General features: G+C 36.1%; 1 protein-coding gene across 8 annotated transcripts in view, besides 1 other annotated feature; it reads left to right on the top strand.

Moving 5' to 3' along the window:
- Nucleotides 1-11,976, top strand: part of CD226 (CD226 molecule) — a 108,500-nt gene extending 96,524 nt beyond the window's left edge. For all 8 annotated transcript variants that reach the window (XM_006722374.4, NM_001303619.2, NM_006566.4 and 5 more), the window contains one exon: nucleotides 811-11,976. In XM_006722374.4, the coding sequence (XP_006722437.1) occupies nucleotides 811-936 (126 nt within the window). In that variant the 3' untranslated portion in view covers nucleotides 937-11,976. The remainder of the gene's footprint in view (nucleotides 1-810) is intronic.
- Nucleotides 355-424: an enhancer, noted in NCBI's record as "active region_13475". NCBI's record gives its function as "activates an Ori minimal core promoter by ATAC-STARR-seq in GM12878 lymphoblastoid cells {active_cell/tissue: GM12878}" and the evidence as "EXISTENCE:reporter gene assay evidence [ECO:0000049][PMID:35858748]".
- Nucleotides 11,977-15,044: the final 3,068 nt, after the last annotated feature.

Genomic DNA, 15,044 nt, shown 5'->3' with positions numbered 1-15,044 from the left:
GGGAGGCTGAGGTGGGCGGATCGTCTGAGGTCAGGAGTTTGAGACCAGCCTGGCCAACATGGCGAAACTCCATCTCTACTAAAAATACAAAAATTAGCTGGGCGTGATGGTGCTTGCCTGTAATCCCAGCTACTCGTGAGGCTGAGGCAGAATTGCTTGAACCTGGGAGGTGGGGGTTGCAGTGAGCCTAGATTGCGCCACTGCACTCCAGCTTGGGCAACAGAGCGAGACTCTGACTCAAAAAAACCAACAACACTAAGGTCAATCTAAATTTTTAAATTACTCATCAAAAGACCTTTCTCTAGTTTCTTTTGTCTCTTAATTTGTCTTTCTTTTTTCACACCTGCATATTTTCTGTTACATACATACATATGTGGTCAAAGTGACTTGATTACGGTAGAGAAGATTAATGATTATACAATATCATCTTGATGTCAGTTTTGTTAACTTTTTATATGTTAAGTTGCTTATTTTTTAAAGTTCAGACACTGTGTTAGAATTTCCATATAAAAATGATAGTAATTGTTCTTATCAAAATAGCTTAACATTGGGAGAGGGAGTTCTACATTGAAACAGGTAATTCATAGCACAATACAGCAAGTATTAATCTAGACTAGATTTCTGTTGCATCTCAGTCAAGAATATGATTTCCAACAGAAGTTCAATACAATGAGAATGTTTTATCAAATTAATTATAATGGAAACTTGTCCCATATCATGCCTGCATTTATGAGAGGTATGTTTTGAATGTCTTCATTAGTTGTTGAAATGCAGTGAATTATTGACACTCTCTGCTGTTTGTCTTTCTAGGCACCCAATAACTATAGAAGTCCCATCTCTACCAGTCAACCTACCAATCAATCCATGGATGATACAAGAGAGGATATTTATGTCAACTATCCAACCTTCTCTCGCAGACCAAAGACTAGAGTTTAAGCTTATTCTTGACATGAGTGCATTAGTAATGACTCTTATGTACTCATGCATGGATCTTTATGCAATTTTTTTCCACTACCCAAGGTCTACCTTAGATACTAGTTGTCTGAATTGAGTTACTTTGATAGGAAAAATACTTCATTACCTAAAATCATTTTTCATAGAACTGTTTCAGAAAACCTGACTCTAACTGGTTTATATACAAAAGAAAACTTACTGTATCATATAACAGAATGATCCAGGGGAGATTAAGCTTTGGGCAAGGGCTATTTACCAGGGCTTAAATGTTGTGTCTAGAATTAAGTATGGGCATAAACTGGCTTCTGAATCCCTTTCCAGAGTGTTGGATCCATTTCCCTGGTCTTGGCCTCACTCTCATGCAGGCTTTCCTCTTGTGTTGGCAAGATGGCTGCCAACTCTTGGCAATTCATACATCCTTGTTTCTGTCTGGTAGAGAGTTTGCTTCTCAAATGGAGCAAACAAATTTGATTATTTTTTCATTGTTAAATAGGCAACATGACCAGAAAGGATGGAATGGCTTAAGTAAACTAAGGGTTCACTTCTAGAGCTGAGAAGCAGGGTCAAAGCACAATACTGGGCAATTCAGAGCATGGTTAGAAGAGGAAAGGGGAGTCTCAAAGCTGGAGAGTTTACCAACAAATATTGACTGCAGTGATTAACCAAGACATTTTTGTTAACTAAAAAGTGAAATATGGGATGGATTCTAGAAATGGGGTATCTCTGTCCATACTTCTAGAATCCACTCTATCAGCATAGTCCAGAAGAATACCTGGCAGTAGAAGAAATGAATATTCAAGAGGAAGATAAATGCGAGAGGGCAATCCTTTACTATTCTCATATTTATTTATCTCTCATTCTGTATAGAATTCTTGCCGCCATCCCAGGTCTAGCCTTAGGAGCAAATGTAGTAGATAGTCGAATAATAAATAACTTAATGTTTTGGACATATTTTGTCTACTTTTGAGAATTATTTTTAATATGTAAATTCTCTCAAAAGGGTCAGGCACCTAGTTATTATTTTTTAATGATTATGTGAAAGTTGAATATAATATACCACTAAAAGTGACAGTTGAAAGTGGTGGCATAGGACGGTAGGGTAGAAATTTGGGAGGGAAAAAAGAAATTGGGAGGGTACAGGCAACAGGAGAAAGGAATCAAACCACAGAAAAATACAAAGGGAAACTTCTGCTTCACTATTCAGACAAAGACAGCCCTAATGACATCACCAACAGTCAAAGCAATTAGAGACCATACCTAATATTGTTTAAATTCTAGATGTAGGCTAACAATGAAAAGTATTTGCCAAACTGAATAAAACTGTCATGGTTACCTTGAAAGGACAATGGTTATTGTTAAATATAGTGATCATTCATGTCTAAAAGATTCATTATTTATCTCTAAAGATTTCTAAAGACCACCATCTAGAAAAGATTCATTATGAAGGCTGTATTTAAATATCAAAGTTGTGGACTTCATGATAATCTTAAATAAAGCAAATCCAAATTCTCCTGTTGCCTAGACAGATTCTAAGATGTAATTTACACTTTTAAGCTAATTAGTGAGTATTTTATGATTTTAGCCTTAAACACCATGTATGCCAAATAATGCACTTGTTTTGTGAATTACAGAAATGGTAAGTGCCCACATTTCTGTGAATTATAAAATTTGTGAGTTTCTTTTAACCCTTTTCAGGAGTGAAAAAATAAAAACGACCATTTCCTGGTTGTGCTTAAGTATATGCAAGAAGGGTAAACTCTCATTTTTATTATGTTTGCTTAAAGATCTTTTTATACCTGGATTCATGAAATGTTTCCACAAATATATTAGTGTAACAAACTTGAAAGGCAGTTTACAAGAAAGCACTCTACTATCAGATCAATCAAAGATTCTGTGAGTGAATTTATTGGTTTGCATGGTGAAGCAAGCTTAGCATCAATTAAAAGGTAAATAATTTCTTTTCTGAATGGTAAAGACAATCAAAATATTACTTTCTGGAAAACTCCAATAACCAAATTCTCAATGATTAGTGTATGTGAGCAGGAAAACATTTTTACAGTTGTAGTATGGGGAAATATAAATCCAATTTTAAGAGAGAAAATTATGACTGGGTGTGGAAGGGACAGTATAGTCAGATACCATTGTCATGGTGGTTTTTACTGGGAACTTCATGAAAGACTTTTGTAGCAAACCACTGCAGTATTGCAAAGCCTCCAGAACATTTGGAACTTGTCTCTTTTTCCTTGTGTGTGTTTGTGTTTTTGGTCTCTCATTCAAAATATTGATGAGAACTATTTACTCTGTCCTTTCTTCTCTATATATTCTTCCTCTACAGAGTGTAGGGTTTTTTCAGGAATTTGGAGCCATCTGAAGTCCTCCCAAAAATTCTCTGACGTCTTCTGATGCTCCTGTTATACCCTCAGGGGTAATGCTTGTGAAATTCCATTCATTCATTTTCTTTCTCTGGACATCTTTACTTACCAAAGCACTTTCATTGTCATCTTTTTAACATCATTCTTAATTCGTGATAGTTTTGGGACTCTCCCTAGTGTATGTTTCTCCCCCTCTACTCTTTTGCACCTATGATTCTGATTGTTACTAAGAAAGCAGATGAAAAACAGATCCACAGAATAAACGATCAGAATTCCAGTAAATTCTATTTTAAATACAGATACTTTTTACAAGTTGCTGCTTTGGAAGCAAAATGCTTCTTAAGTTTTACATATATATATATATATATACATATATATATACACATATAATTTATATCGATGGATAATACATTAAGAATCTATGCTTCCTTTGAATGCCATTAATATTTATGTTAAAGTAACCAATGAAAGGAAATTACTTTGTTATAATAAGATAGGAAGACTTGTTAATGGAGTACACAGTTTTGTCAGGGAAAGAACACATCTTATTGAACTATGATGACTATGCATTGACTATATTATTATAAGAGATACCTTCAAACTTTATTTAAAGAACTTTAGGTATAATATGTTGAGAAAATAAAATAGAAATTTCATTTACTTGTAATCATGCTTAAAATGGGAGGCAGGTAGGTGAAGATATAATTTTTAGTAAAAACTCCAATTTATGTTTTAAGTAATTCAGTGTATTACTAAAATACTATATATATAAACTTAAAATACATGGGTTATCAATTTAAAAGACAAAGTAAGTAAAAATACTTTTAGTAGGCATTCGTGGATTGTGAACATCCAAGTTATATTGGTTTGTATAGAATGGCATTAAGTAAAAATTACAGCTGTATAACAGTAGTTTTCTAAATTGAGAGAGTCCACATTGTAATTAGAGATCACTGTGACCAAAATGCTTCTCCTTGATTTATAATGATGTACTGTATTTTGTACTGCTTATATGAAATTTCAGCAAGATTGACGATATTATAAAGATGCTTATAAAGTGTAAGTGGAGACGCTAAATTGTGAGTACAAAGTTTCTTTTTCACAACAGTGATAAGAAAATATCTTTAAAAAATATAAGACAATATAAACATGTCATCATTAGTTTAGCTACTATTAAAATGTAACATCTAGAAAGTACTGATCTCCACCTTCAGACTTCTGTATAAGTATATTTTTTCACTGATCTGTTCATTAGAGTTCTTCCAGCCAAGACTCTGGGCTCTTAAAACATGTATCTGAAAACTAAAAACAAGTTAATTTTTTTAAAAGCTTCTCTATTTCTAGTGATTCAATAGGTAGAAAAATAGCTTCTAGAATTAACTGCAATGCTTTCTAAGGAAATTTTATAAATCCTCAAGGTCGGTTTACACATATTTTTCCAGATTCAGAGCACTAACTATCTTGTAAGATGTAAGAAAAGGTCCATTTGGAAGTATGAGTAATAAATGTCTGGGATAATTCTGGTTTATTTCGTATTATCCTTGTTAGAATAAGTTATATGGTCAACCTGTTCAGAACACTTTTTCTAGTGTTAGTGTGTACTTTTGGATTTTTGGTTCTTGTAGGGTATAGAAATATTTTCCTTTGTCTTGTATTCTGTTGTTTTGAATGAATAAAACACAATGTTTCACGATCACTACTTTCATTTGCCATGGAGAAATAGCAGGGAAAAATTTCTACAGAATAAAATTAACTGATGAATTACATGCAGAAAAAATTCAAATCAATGATACATTGTAATTTTTATCTCAATGCAATGTTCTTTGTATTTTATTTTATTATTATTTTTTTGAGACGGAGTTTCACTTTTGTTGCCCGGGCTGGAGTGCAATGGCACAATCTCGGCTCACCACAACCTCTGCCTCCCGGATTCAAGTGATTCTCCTGCCTCAGCCTCCTGAATAGCTGGGATTACAGGCATATGCCAACATGCCTGGCTAATTTTGTATTTTTAGTGGAGACGGGGTTTCTCCACGTTGGTCAGACTTGTCTTGAACTCTGGACCTCAGGTGATCCACCTGCCTCAGCCTCCTAAATTGCTGGGATTACAGGCATGAGCGACCACTCCTGGCCTTGTTCTTTGTATTTTATAAGTGCATGTAGTGCAAAGGGTCAAAGGGCTTTACAGGTTTTTTGTTTGTTTGTTTTTGTTTTTCCCGAAACATAGTAGTCCCTTGCCCTTCCTCATTTTTGTTACCTTGAGACAACAAATTTTACTACTTCTAACTCATTATTTTATTTATGTTCACTTTTCTGAATAGCATGCTTATGACACTAATACTTTTTTTTTCAATTTTAGACATTCATTATTCATTTAGATGTCTTTCTCTCCCCAAACTCACCACATAAAATACTCTTCTCATGTCTCTTTCAGAAATATTTGTATTAAAATATGATTATATCAATATTTGGCATTTATTTCTTATGACCTTGCCAGTACTCTTAGTTAAACTACATGGTAAAAATGATTTTGCTTTCCCTCCTACATAACTTTTTTTCCACCTAGAGCTAATAATTGTCATTCTGGGGACTGACTTTTTCTGTATTTACCATAAATTGACCTGAAACTCCCCTGTGATGCAGCAGGAATTCTACCAACGTCAACTTCCTTAGAAAGACTCCATTAGAAGCTTGACTTGGGGCTAGAAGGAGAGGCACACAACTGCCATCCTGGTGTCTCCCTTCATCCAGAAAAAGGGGGAGGAATACATGAAACCTAGAATCCACTCTAAAACATTTTCCAGAACAAAAGGACATGTGTTTCCGTGTTGTAAATGTTTAACGAGTGCCCATAACAAGGAATAATAAGTCTATTATGTTTGCTTTTGTGTCTGTAAAAGTTGGGGGTATTGGTTGTAAGCACGAAAACAGATACTGACTGTTGAAGAAAAAAAAAAATACGAGGTCAGGAGTTTGAGACCAACTTGGCCAATATGGTGAAACCCTGTCTTAGTAAAAATAGAAAAATTAGCCAGGCCTGGTGGCACGCACCTGTAGTCCCAGCTACTTGGGAGGCTGAGGCAGAAGAATCGCTTGAACCCGGGAGGCAGAGGTTGCAGTGAGCCAAGATCGCACCACTGCACTCCACCCTGGGCAACAGAGCGAGACTCCGTCTCAAAAAAAAAAAAAAAAAAAAAAAAAAAAAGTTAAGTATTTGAACATAGGGGTGGCTCATAGAATTCCCAGGACACCCGATGGAGTAGGCTTGCAAAACACAACATGTGGCAACTCCAGTGGGAAACGAGGCAGGAAACACTCGTTTCCTGCAGAAAGCAACAATTTGGGCTTCGATACCCTCCCTAGAACACAGGGCAGTGAATCTGAGCAGCATCAGTACCCCACGTTCGGATGAGTCCTGAGCCCCTATTTTTATTCACTGACTTATTCCAAAATCAGTGTCTCTTAAATATATCTGGAAGGCAGCAGCTTGTATCTCCCCCTTCAGCTTCCATAGTGGCAGTCAGGGTACAACTTACTTTCCAAACAGAACACACTGCGACATTCCCTCCAGGCTCGTTGAAGAACTTCAACTGACAAATGTCCCTCCTCGACCAGATGATAGTTTTCTTAAAGGCAGGGTTTAATATACCCTTTTATAAATGTTTCAAGGCCCTGTGTAATACCTGAGTTTATTCCAGATGTAACTAAATATATCCAAGATTGTTTTAAAATAAATTGCTGAAAAAACAAATAAATACAGTTAGTATCTATATCAATATTCTCAGTTGGCAGTTTTGCAATAATGGCCGATAGTTCATTTTTAGTAACACTATTGACATTGCATTTGGATATTAGGGTTTACTAATCATCCGCATGTATACATTGCATATTTTTCTAGACTTTAACTTTATTCAAATCTATTGATTTTTAAACCTGCAACTTATGTCTAGACACAGGTATACCTTTACAAGAACTACCATTTTTTTTGGTAACATACTACCTCCAAAATTTCAAGTAAGAAGTTGATTTTTGTCCATTTTTAAATGGAAAACTTGTAATCAAAATGCCACAAAATTATACTGTGTATCATTTGACCTATAGAAACCAATATTATTACAGGAAGAAAGCAGAGCCAATCTTCTACCTGTGGTCAAATAAGTGGAGGCCCTTTCTAGACTAAGTTCTCATGAGTTTAAAATACCAAGCATAAGTTCTCCAAATTCCTGAAAAGGAAGCCTTGTGTTGTATTGCCCAGCCATATTTGTAAGACATAAAAATAAAACTTGAGAAGAAGCTATGATAACTTACTTTCTTCATTCTTCAAAATTTACATAATCTCAACTGATTTTATGTTTTTATGAAAATGCATTCTTAAGATATATCCTTATTCAATCATGTATTCATTACATCCTTTATGCCAGGTATCCAAAAGTACTTACAGTGACTAAGACCATTATTCTTTGATCAGCTGCCTGAGTAAGACTTTGAGCTCTCCAATATACTCTCAGTGATACTAAGTTTTCTGAGTAACAGCTTTGGATGTGGCTTCAGTTGAGCTGATTTATCCCACACTTTATTTTTATCGTATAATGGTCCTCAGAAGCAAATTTTGATTTTAGCTCACATAAAAAATGTACAAAGAAATGTAATGGCTCAGTAGCTTCTAGAGATAGAGATTACTCTTCTAACCTTTCTGTAATTTTGTATGTCTATTTTATAATTCTTTCAATGTCTAATGAATAGCTATCTTTTTTTGAGACGGAGTCTCGCTCTGTCGCCCAGGCTGGAGTGCAGTGGTGCGACCTCGGCTCACCGCAAGCTGCGTCTTCCAGGTTCACGCCATTCTCCTGCCTCAGCCTCCCGAGTAGCTGGGACTTCAGGCGCCCACCACCATGCCCAGCTAATTTTTTTGTATTTTTAGTAGAGACGGGGTTTCACCGTGTTAGCCAGGGTGGTCTCGATCTCCTGACCTCGTGATCCGCCCGCCTCGGCCTCCCAACGTGCTGGGATTACAGGAGTGAGCCACCGCGCCCGGCCTCCTTAGTTTCTTAAGGTGGAAGCCTAGATTATTGATTTTATATGTTGTTTTCTTTTCCAATAGTGGCACTTAATGCTATAAATTTCACTTTGTTCCACAAGTTTTGGTAAGCTCTATTTTTATTTTCATTTAGTCCAAAATATTTTAAAATTTCTTTTGATATTTCTTCTTTGAGCCATGAATTATTTACAATGTGTTGTTTAATCTCTATATATTTTGGGATTTTTCTACTTTATATCTCTTACAGATTTCTAACTTAATTTCATCATGTTTTAAAAACATTCTTTGTATAATTTCTATTCTTTTAAATTTTTCAGGTGTATTTTATGGCCCAGAATATGGTCTATCTTGTAGAATGTTTCATGTGATCTTAAGAAGAATGTTCATTCTGCTGTTGAGTGTAATATTCTACAAATGTCCATTAGATTAAACTGATTGATACCACCGTTCAGATTATCTATATCCTTTCTGATTTTCCCTCTTCTTGATCTATCACATACTGACAGATCAAGTGATCAAGTCTCGTTAAAGACTGCAAGTAAAATAGTGGATTTTTCTATTTCTCCTTGCAGTTTTGTTAGTTTTTGTCTCATGTATCTTGATACTCTTGTTAGTACATATACTTTCAGAATCGTTAGGTTTTCTTGGAGAATTGACCCCTTTACCACATGTAATGTCCCTTTTATTCTTGATAATCTTTCTTGTTCTGTCTGCTTTTTCTGATATTAACATAACTTTCAGTTTTTTAAAAAATTAACATTAGCATCTCACATCTTTATCCTTTTAATTTTAAATTATCTAAATATTTATATTTAATGTGCCTTTCTTATAGACAATGTATAGTTGCGTCTATTTGTAATTTCCCCACTTTTCTTACTTAAAAATGTTGTAGATATATAGGAGTTGTATATATTTGGGGGGTACATGTGATGTTTTGATACCTGTATACAATATGTAATGATCATATTGGGTAATCGTGATATCTGTCACCTCTAACATTCATCTTTTTTGTGTGTTTAAACCCACCACTTCTAATTGGTACATTTAGATTATTCAAATTTAAGTGATTATTGATATAGTTGGATTAATATCTACTATGTTTGTAACTTTTCTATCCTTGCACTCGTTCTTTCTTTTTTATCCTCCTTTTTCTGTGTTCTCTGATTTTAACTGGGGTTTTTACATGATTTAATTTTCTCTCGTGGCATATCTTTCATTGATCAACCTAGGTTTTTCTCCTTTTCCCCTCTTTTTTTTGGTATTTATTCTATTTAGTGTTATCTGAGCTACCTGAGTTGGTGTCTATCACTAATTTTGGCAAGTTCCCAGACGTTATTACTTCTAACATTCTTTTGCTCCATTCTTTCTTCTTCTTCAATTATTCCATAGTCTTGAATATTCTGGGTTTTTCCCACTCTTTGAATTTTAGTTTGAAAAGTTTCTATTGGCCTAGCTTCAAAGTCATTCATTCTTCCTTCGGGGTTCCAAGTCAACTGATAATTGCATCAAAGATATCCTTCCTTTCTATTACTATGTTTTTTATTGCTACCATTTCTTTTTTATTCCTTCTTAGTGTTTCCATCTTTCTTCTTACATTATCCATCTGTTGTCTATTTTTTTCATGAGAGCTCTTAACATATTAATGATAAGTTCCATGTCTGATAATTCTGACACGTGTCATGTCTCTATCTGGTTCCAATGATTGCTTTATCTCTTCAGACCATGACTTTTCTTGCCTTTTGACGTTCTTTGACATTTTTTTTGAATTTTTTGTTGCAAGCCAGATCTGGTGTGTTATGTAATAGGAACAGGTAAATAAGTCTTTAGCTTGCAGACTTATCTTAATCTGACTAACTATTAGACTGTGTTTAAAGTCTGTTATAACCATAGGTGCTAAATTTCTTCAAATTCCTCTAGTGTCTTTGTTTTGTTTGTTCATGTGTTTTTCCCCTTCTTGAGTTCAGGCTTCCCTAAGTGCTCCTCTTCAGAGAGACTTTCTGTCTTTCAGCTCTTTCCTCTGCAATTCACTGTTACTATACTGGAGCCCTGTTGGTGTAGTACTAAGCTGTGGGAAAGGAGAGTGCTCTGTAATCTTACAGTGAAATCTCAGTCTTTTAGTGGGTCTGTGTCTGGGACATTCACAGAGCTTCTCCAGTGGTATTGCTTCCTCATCCTCAACTCTCTTTCCTGGCTGCAGCATTCCCAATGTATTTCTTTGAAGGCCTGCCCCCTGTTGACTGTTATTTTCCCTCTTTCCTTAAGTGGGACAGGGAGACTTCAGGGGCTGGGATGAGGTTTGGGAATTGTGCTTGGCAGAGTCCTTTCCATCTTTGTTACCAAGAAGGTTCATGGCTTATTTCTCAATGGATGTCCCTCTCTATCTGTTGCCAGAGCCACGAGGAAATTTTTCTTGGATCCTCATAATGAGAACCTTGGAGTTTCCTACTGGAAAAGCCCTTGAATGTGTGGAGTGCCTCAAGAGCACAGCCCCCATGGGTTTCTTGCTCACACCAGTCCACAAACAGATGCCAGCAATTCACCCAACTTACCATATAAAGGCTCATACTAGTTTATGGCTCCAGTGCTTTGACTCCAGATAAATGGCTATTGGTTGCGTATCTCTCTGGATGTATCTGTATCTCCAGATTTTGGGGTGGCAGTTTGCTCAGGACCTTGGTTCTCTAATAGGTCTAATAAGAAAAGTCATTGATTTTCAGCTTTCCAACTTTCCAGCTTTGTCTTGTTATAAGCATGGCAGCAACATCTTCCATGCCTTAACATGATGACACTAAAGGCAGAAGTCGATCTCCATGTATAAACATTTTAACACATATGTTTTTTGTTATCGTGGTTTCTGACCTGTCTCTTTGCCCTGACTTTCTGATACTGCACTAGGGTTCCTGTTGCTGGACTCCATTCCATATGACTTGCTCTCGTCTAGGCTGCTCTTTGGCTCATCTTTATAAATCATGATCCAAAATGAAGCACATATTTATTTTTTAAATAAATATGAAATGAAGTATAGACATCAAACTGAAGATGAGTAGATCATACTGAGTTTCACTGTCTGTGCTTGGATCAACATCAGGCCTTATACAAATATTCAAGTCCAGAGGCAAAAGGTAATAAGGAAAATTTGTAGCACAAGCCACAAGGAGATAACATGTCAAGTCTATGCGATTGGAAATAAACTAAAGATGAACTGCTGGGGATGCTCACTCATCACAGAGCTCAGTCTAAAGCACCAGATTTCACAAGCATTTTTTGGGGGAAATTCTGTTAAAATGAAATATGAGTCACATGGTGGTGTTTCACTCATCATATGTGTTCAATATTAATTCATTTTAAGGTTTAGTTGCACAAAAGGTAAATGAGAATTAGAAGACTCCATGGGTAAGAGGAGCCACAGAAGTAAAGCATTGTCAAGGGTTCTATGTCTATATATTTAGATATTAGGCTTCTGAGAAAAAAACACAATAGGAAGGAAGATGAACACAACAGAGGGCAGAAGGTCTATACGTCCTGAGGCCTTTTATGCAACGTTTGTTTGTGGAATGTTTTTTAAGAATGTGTGAGAGTCATTTTAATGTGAAATAAAGACCTACGTCTACAGACTTGCCTCATAGTTTGTTCACTCCATATGGTCATATGTAAATAGTGCAAAGCTTTTATAAACAGATCATTTAATAATTTCTTAAAGCTGAACCCCTTTTCTCTCTACAGTTTAGTGGAAGTAGTGTTGAATATTTTCTGTCAGTATAGATAAACAAATGAACAAACGAACCCAATACTGCCCAAAACATGTTACTATCTTTTCCAGGTTAAGAAAAAGCTTAAATAATAACTGACCAGTAAGAATCACATGGCATTTTAGCTTCAGGAAGAATATTGTGTCTAGATAGAAACAAAAAAAGTCAAATGCGATCTCTTTTACTAAATAGTCAACGGTAATGATCTGAACTACATGAGAGATCACAGTGTTCTTATATATTAAAAATAATGTCCCAAACCCCACCCATAAGCTTAAGTTAAACACATGGTTAAACATACCATCAACATGTTATCATTTACAAGGTAAAACACCATCATGTAACATCTCTTGGCGTATAGTGTCTCTTAGATACCTATGTGTTTAACATCTCCATTAAAGAGTTGGACACTACAAATGTCACATGAAGGATGGAGTTATGTTTTGTTCATGAATTTAGAGAACATTTTGTACTATATGTAATGTTGGTTTTACCTGAGATACCAATTGTCACCCCAAATCAGTCTAAGTTGTGCATAATCTTAAAAATGCAATGGACATTATCTCCCATTAAATGCCTACTCATCCCACTTACAAATTCTAAACTTATAACAATTCCATTTTAGTTACATTTCCTAGTCAGATCTCTTGATGATCCATGCATTTTAGAATTTAGAATGCCAGGCCGGGCGCGGTGGCTCACGCCTGTAATCCCAGCACTTTGGGAGGCCGAGGCGGGCGGATCACGAGGTCAGGAGATCGAGACCATCCCGGCTAAAACGGTGAAACCCCGTCTCTACTAAAAATACAAAAAATTAGCTGGGCATAGTGGTGGGCGCCTGTAGTCCCAGCTACTTGGGAGGCTGAGGCAGGAGAATGGCGTGAACCCGGGAGGCGGAGCTTGCAGTGAGCCGAGATCCCGCCACTGCACTCCAGCCTGGGCGACAGAGCGAGACTCCGTCTCAAAAAAATAAAATAAAATAAAAAAGAATTTAGAATGCCATCCCTTTTCACTATTGAGAAAAAGGGTCAGATATGAGGAGGGAGAGGAAGGGAGGGAGGAGAGGAGAGCTGAGTAGAACATTTTAAATCTATTTCTTGTAACATTTTTCTTTAGATTGTTCTGATGAGAGTAAAGTGACTAGTTACAGTAAGTAAAATGGGTTATTGCTGAGTAGTGGTCTTTATTTTTTTGGGGGTAGCATGAATTTCTAGCTCTGTATTTGGCTCTTTGAAGTGTACTTGGATTTGTTAAAAACCGTAAGCCTCAAAAACAGCAGGTTACCTAAAAACAGCAGGTTATCTGTAACTTTTAATAGATATTGGAACAAGAAAGGAATTTCTTAAGTCAAATGGTACTCAAAGGACAGTCATTAAGCAAGATTAGACTAAGTATACCTGCCTCATGGCTTGAGGAATACGCTTCCTCTCCGGATGGTGAGCCAAATCTTACAGAAGGGACCAAATCTTACCCATTTTTGAATTCCCAGTAATTAGAACATTCAGCTCATGCTTTTAAAATTGAATTTCTGAATAATATTTTCCCCCTTTGGCTTTCTCATAACCAAAGTTTGCAAATATTCAGGGAGTATTGAATATTTAGAATGGATCTCTGTAATTCACACATGAATAGAAAGTAACAATGAGGCCAGGAGTGGTGGCTCGTGCCTGTAATCCCAGCACTTTGGGAGGCTGAGGCGGGTGGATCACTTGAGGCCAGGAGTTCAAGACCAGCCTGGCTAACATGGTGAAACCCCGTCTCTTCTAAAAATACAAAAATATTAGCTGGTTGTGGTGGCACTCGCCTGTAGTCCTAGCTACTTGGGAGGCAGAGGCAGGAGAATCGCTTGAACCTGGGAGATGGAAGTTGCAGTAAGCCAAGATCGTGCCCCTGCACTCTAGCCTGGGAGACTGCATCTCAAAAAAAAAAAAAAAAAAAAAAAAAGACAATGAGTGTATGTTTGTCTTATATGCAAGTTTGTGTCAAGAGAGGAAGAAATAGAGGATTTTTTTAAAATGAGGTTTTAAAAATGTATAGAGCTCAAGTAGCAACAGATACATTTGGAGTTCTGTTAGATTATGGCATCTAATAAATTTTTTCTTTTTTTAAAAAAGAGGCTTTAAAACATTTATACAATTCAAATAACAAGAGACAATTTTGGAGTTAGGTTAGACTGTGTGTCTAATAATTTTTTTGTGATTAAAATGCAGCCTATTTGTTGGGTGGGGTGGCCGGGGCGGGGAAGAGAAAGAGGAGAAGGAGGAGGAGGAAGAAGGAAAGAGAAGTTCAGACATAGCTTTGAGAAAGGAATTTAGGGAGCTAGTGAGGATGGTCTCTCTTGTCTTCCTTCCTTCCTTCTATCCATTTTCATGTCTCCTACAGAAAGCCATGTACATATTTGCTGCCACAGCTCCATACTGTCATTGATGCATATCAAATGGAATTAAAAGGAGGCAAGAAGAAAGATCAGGAGATATTGTTTGTCCTCCACTCATGTTTTGGAGGTAGCAGTTACGCAAAAAGTAGTGATTGACTGGCCTTTGAGATCAGATGAAATCAGCAGGCTAATACCCTAGAGATACCTACATATTAGTGTAATTCATACTTCCATGAATGTTTTGATATTCTATGCAGCTCTTACTCAAATATTTATTTTAATAATTCACCATATGGATGCTAATATTAGATAAATCTTTTAAAAATATATTTCTTGACTAAACTGGAAGTAGAAAGAGTTGATGTTCTTTGTACATTACGAAAATAGCAGCATAATTGCTATTGAGCTGTGCCTCGTGACGTATATTTATTAAATACCTTCTTTGATGTTAGCTCTAAGCTTATATAAACCTTTACATTATTTCTAAATACATTTTCCCAAGTAAATATAGTCTCCATGATTTTAATAGTGACAAAAAGGGAAAGAAAATTCAT

The sequence above is a fragment of the Homo sapiens genome, chromosome 18 (genome assembly GCF_000001405.40).
Source record: "Homo sapiens chromosome 18, GRCh38.p14 Primary Assembly".
Lineage (NCBI taxonomy): Eukaryota > Metazoa > Chordata > Mammalia > Primates > Hominidae > Homo > Homo sapiens.
This window is presented reverse-complemented; position numbering and strand designations above follow the sequence as displayed.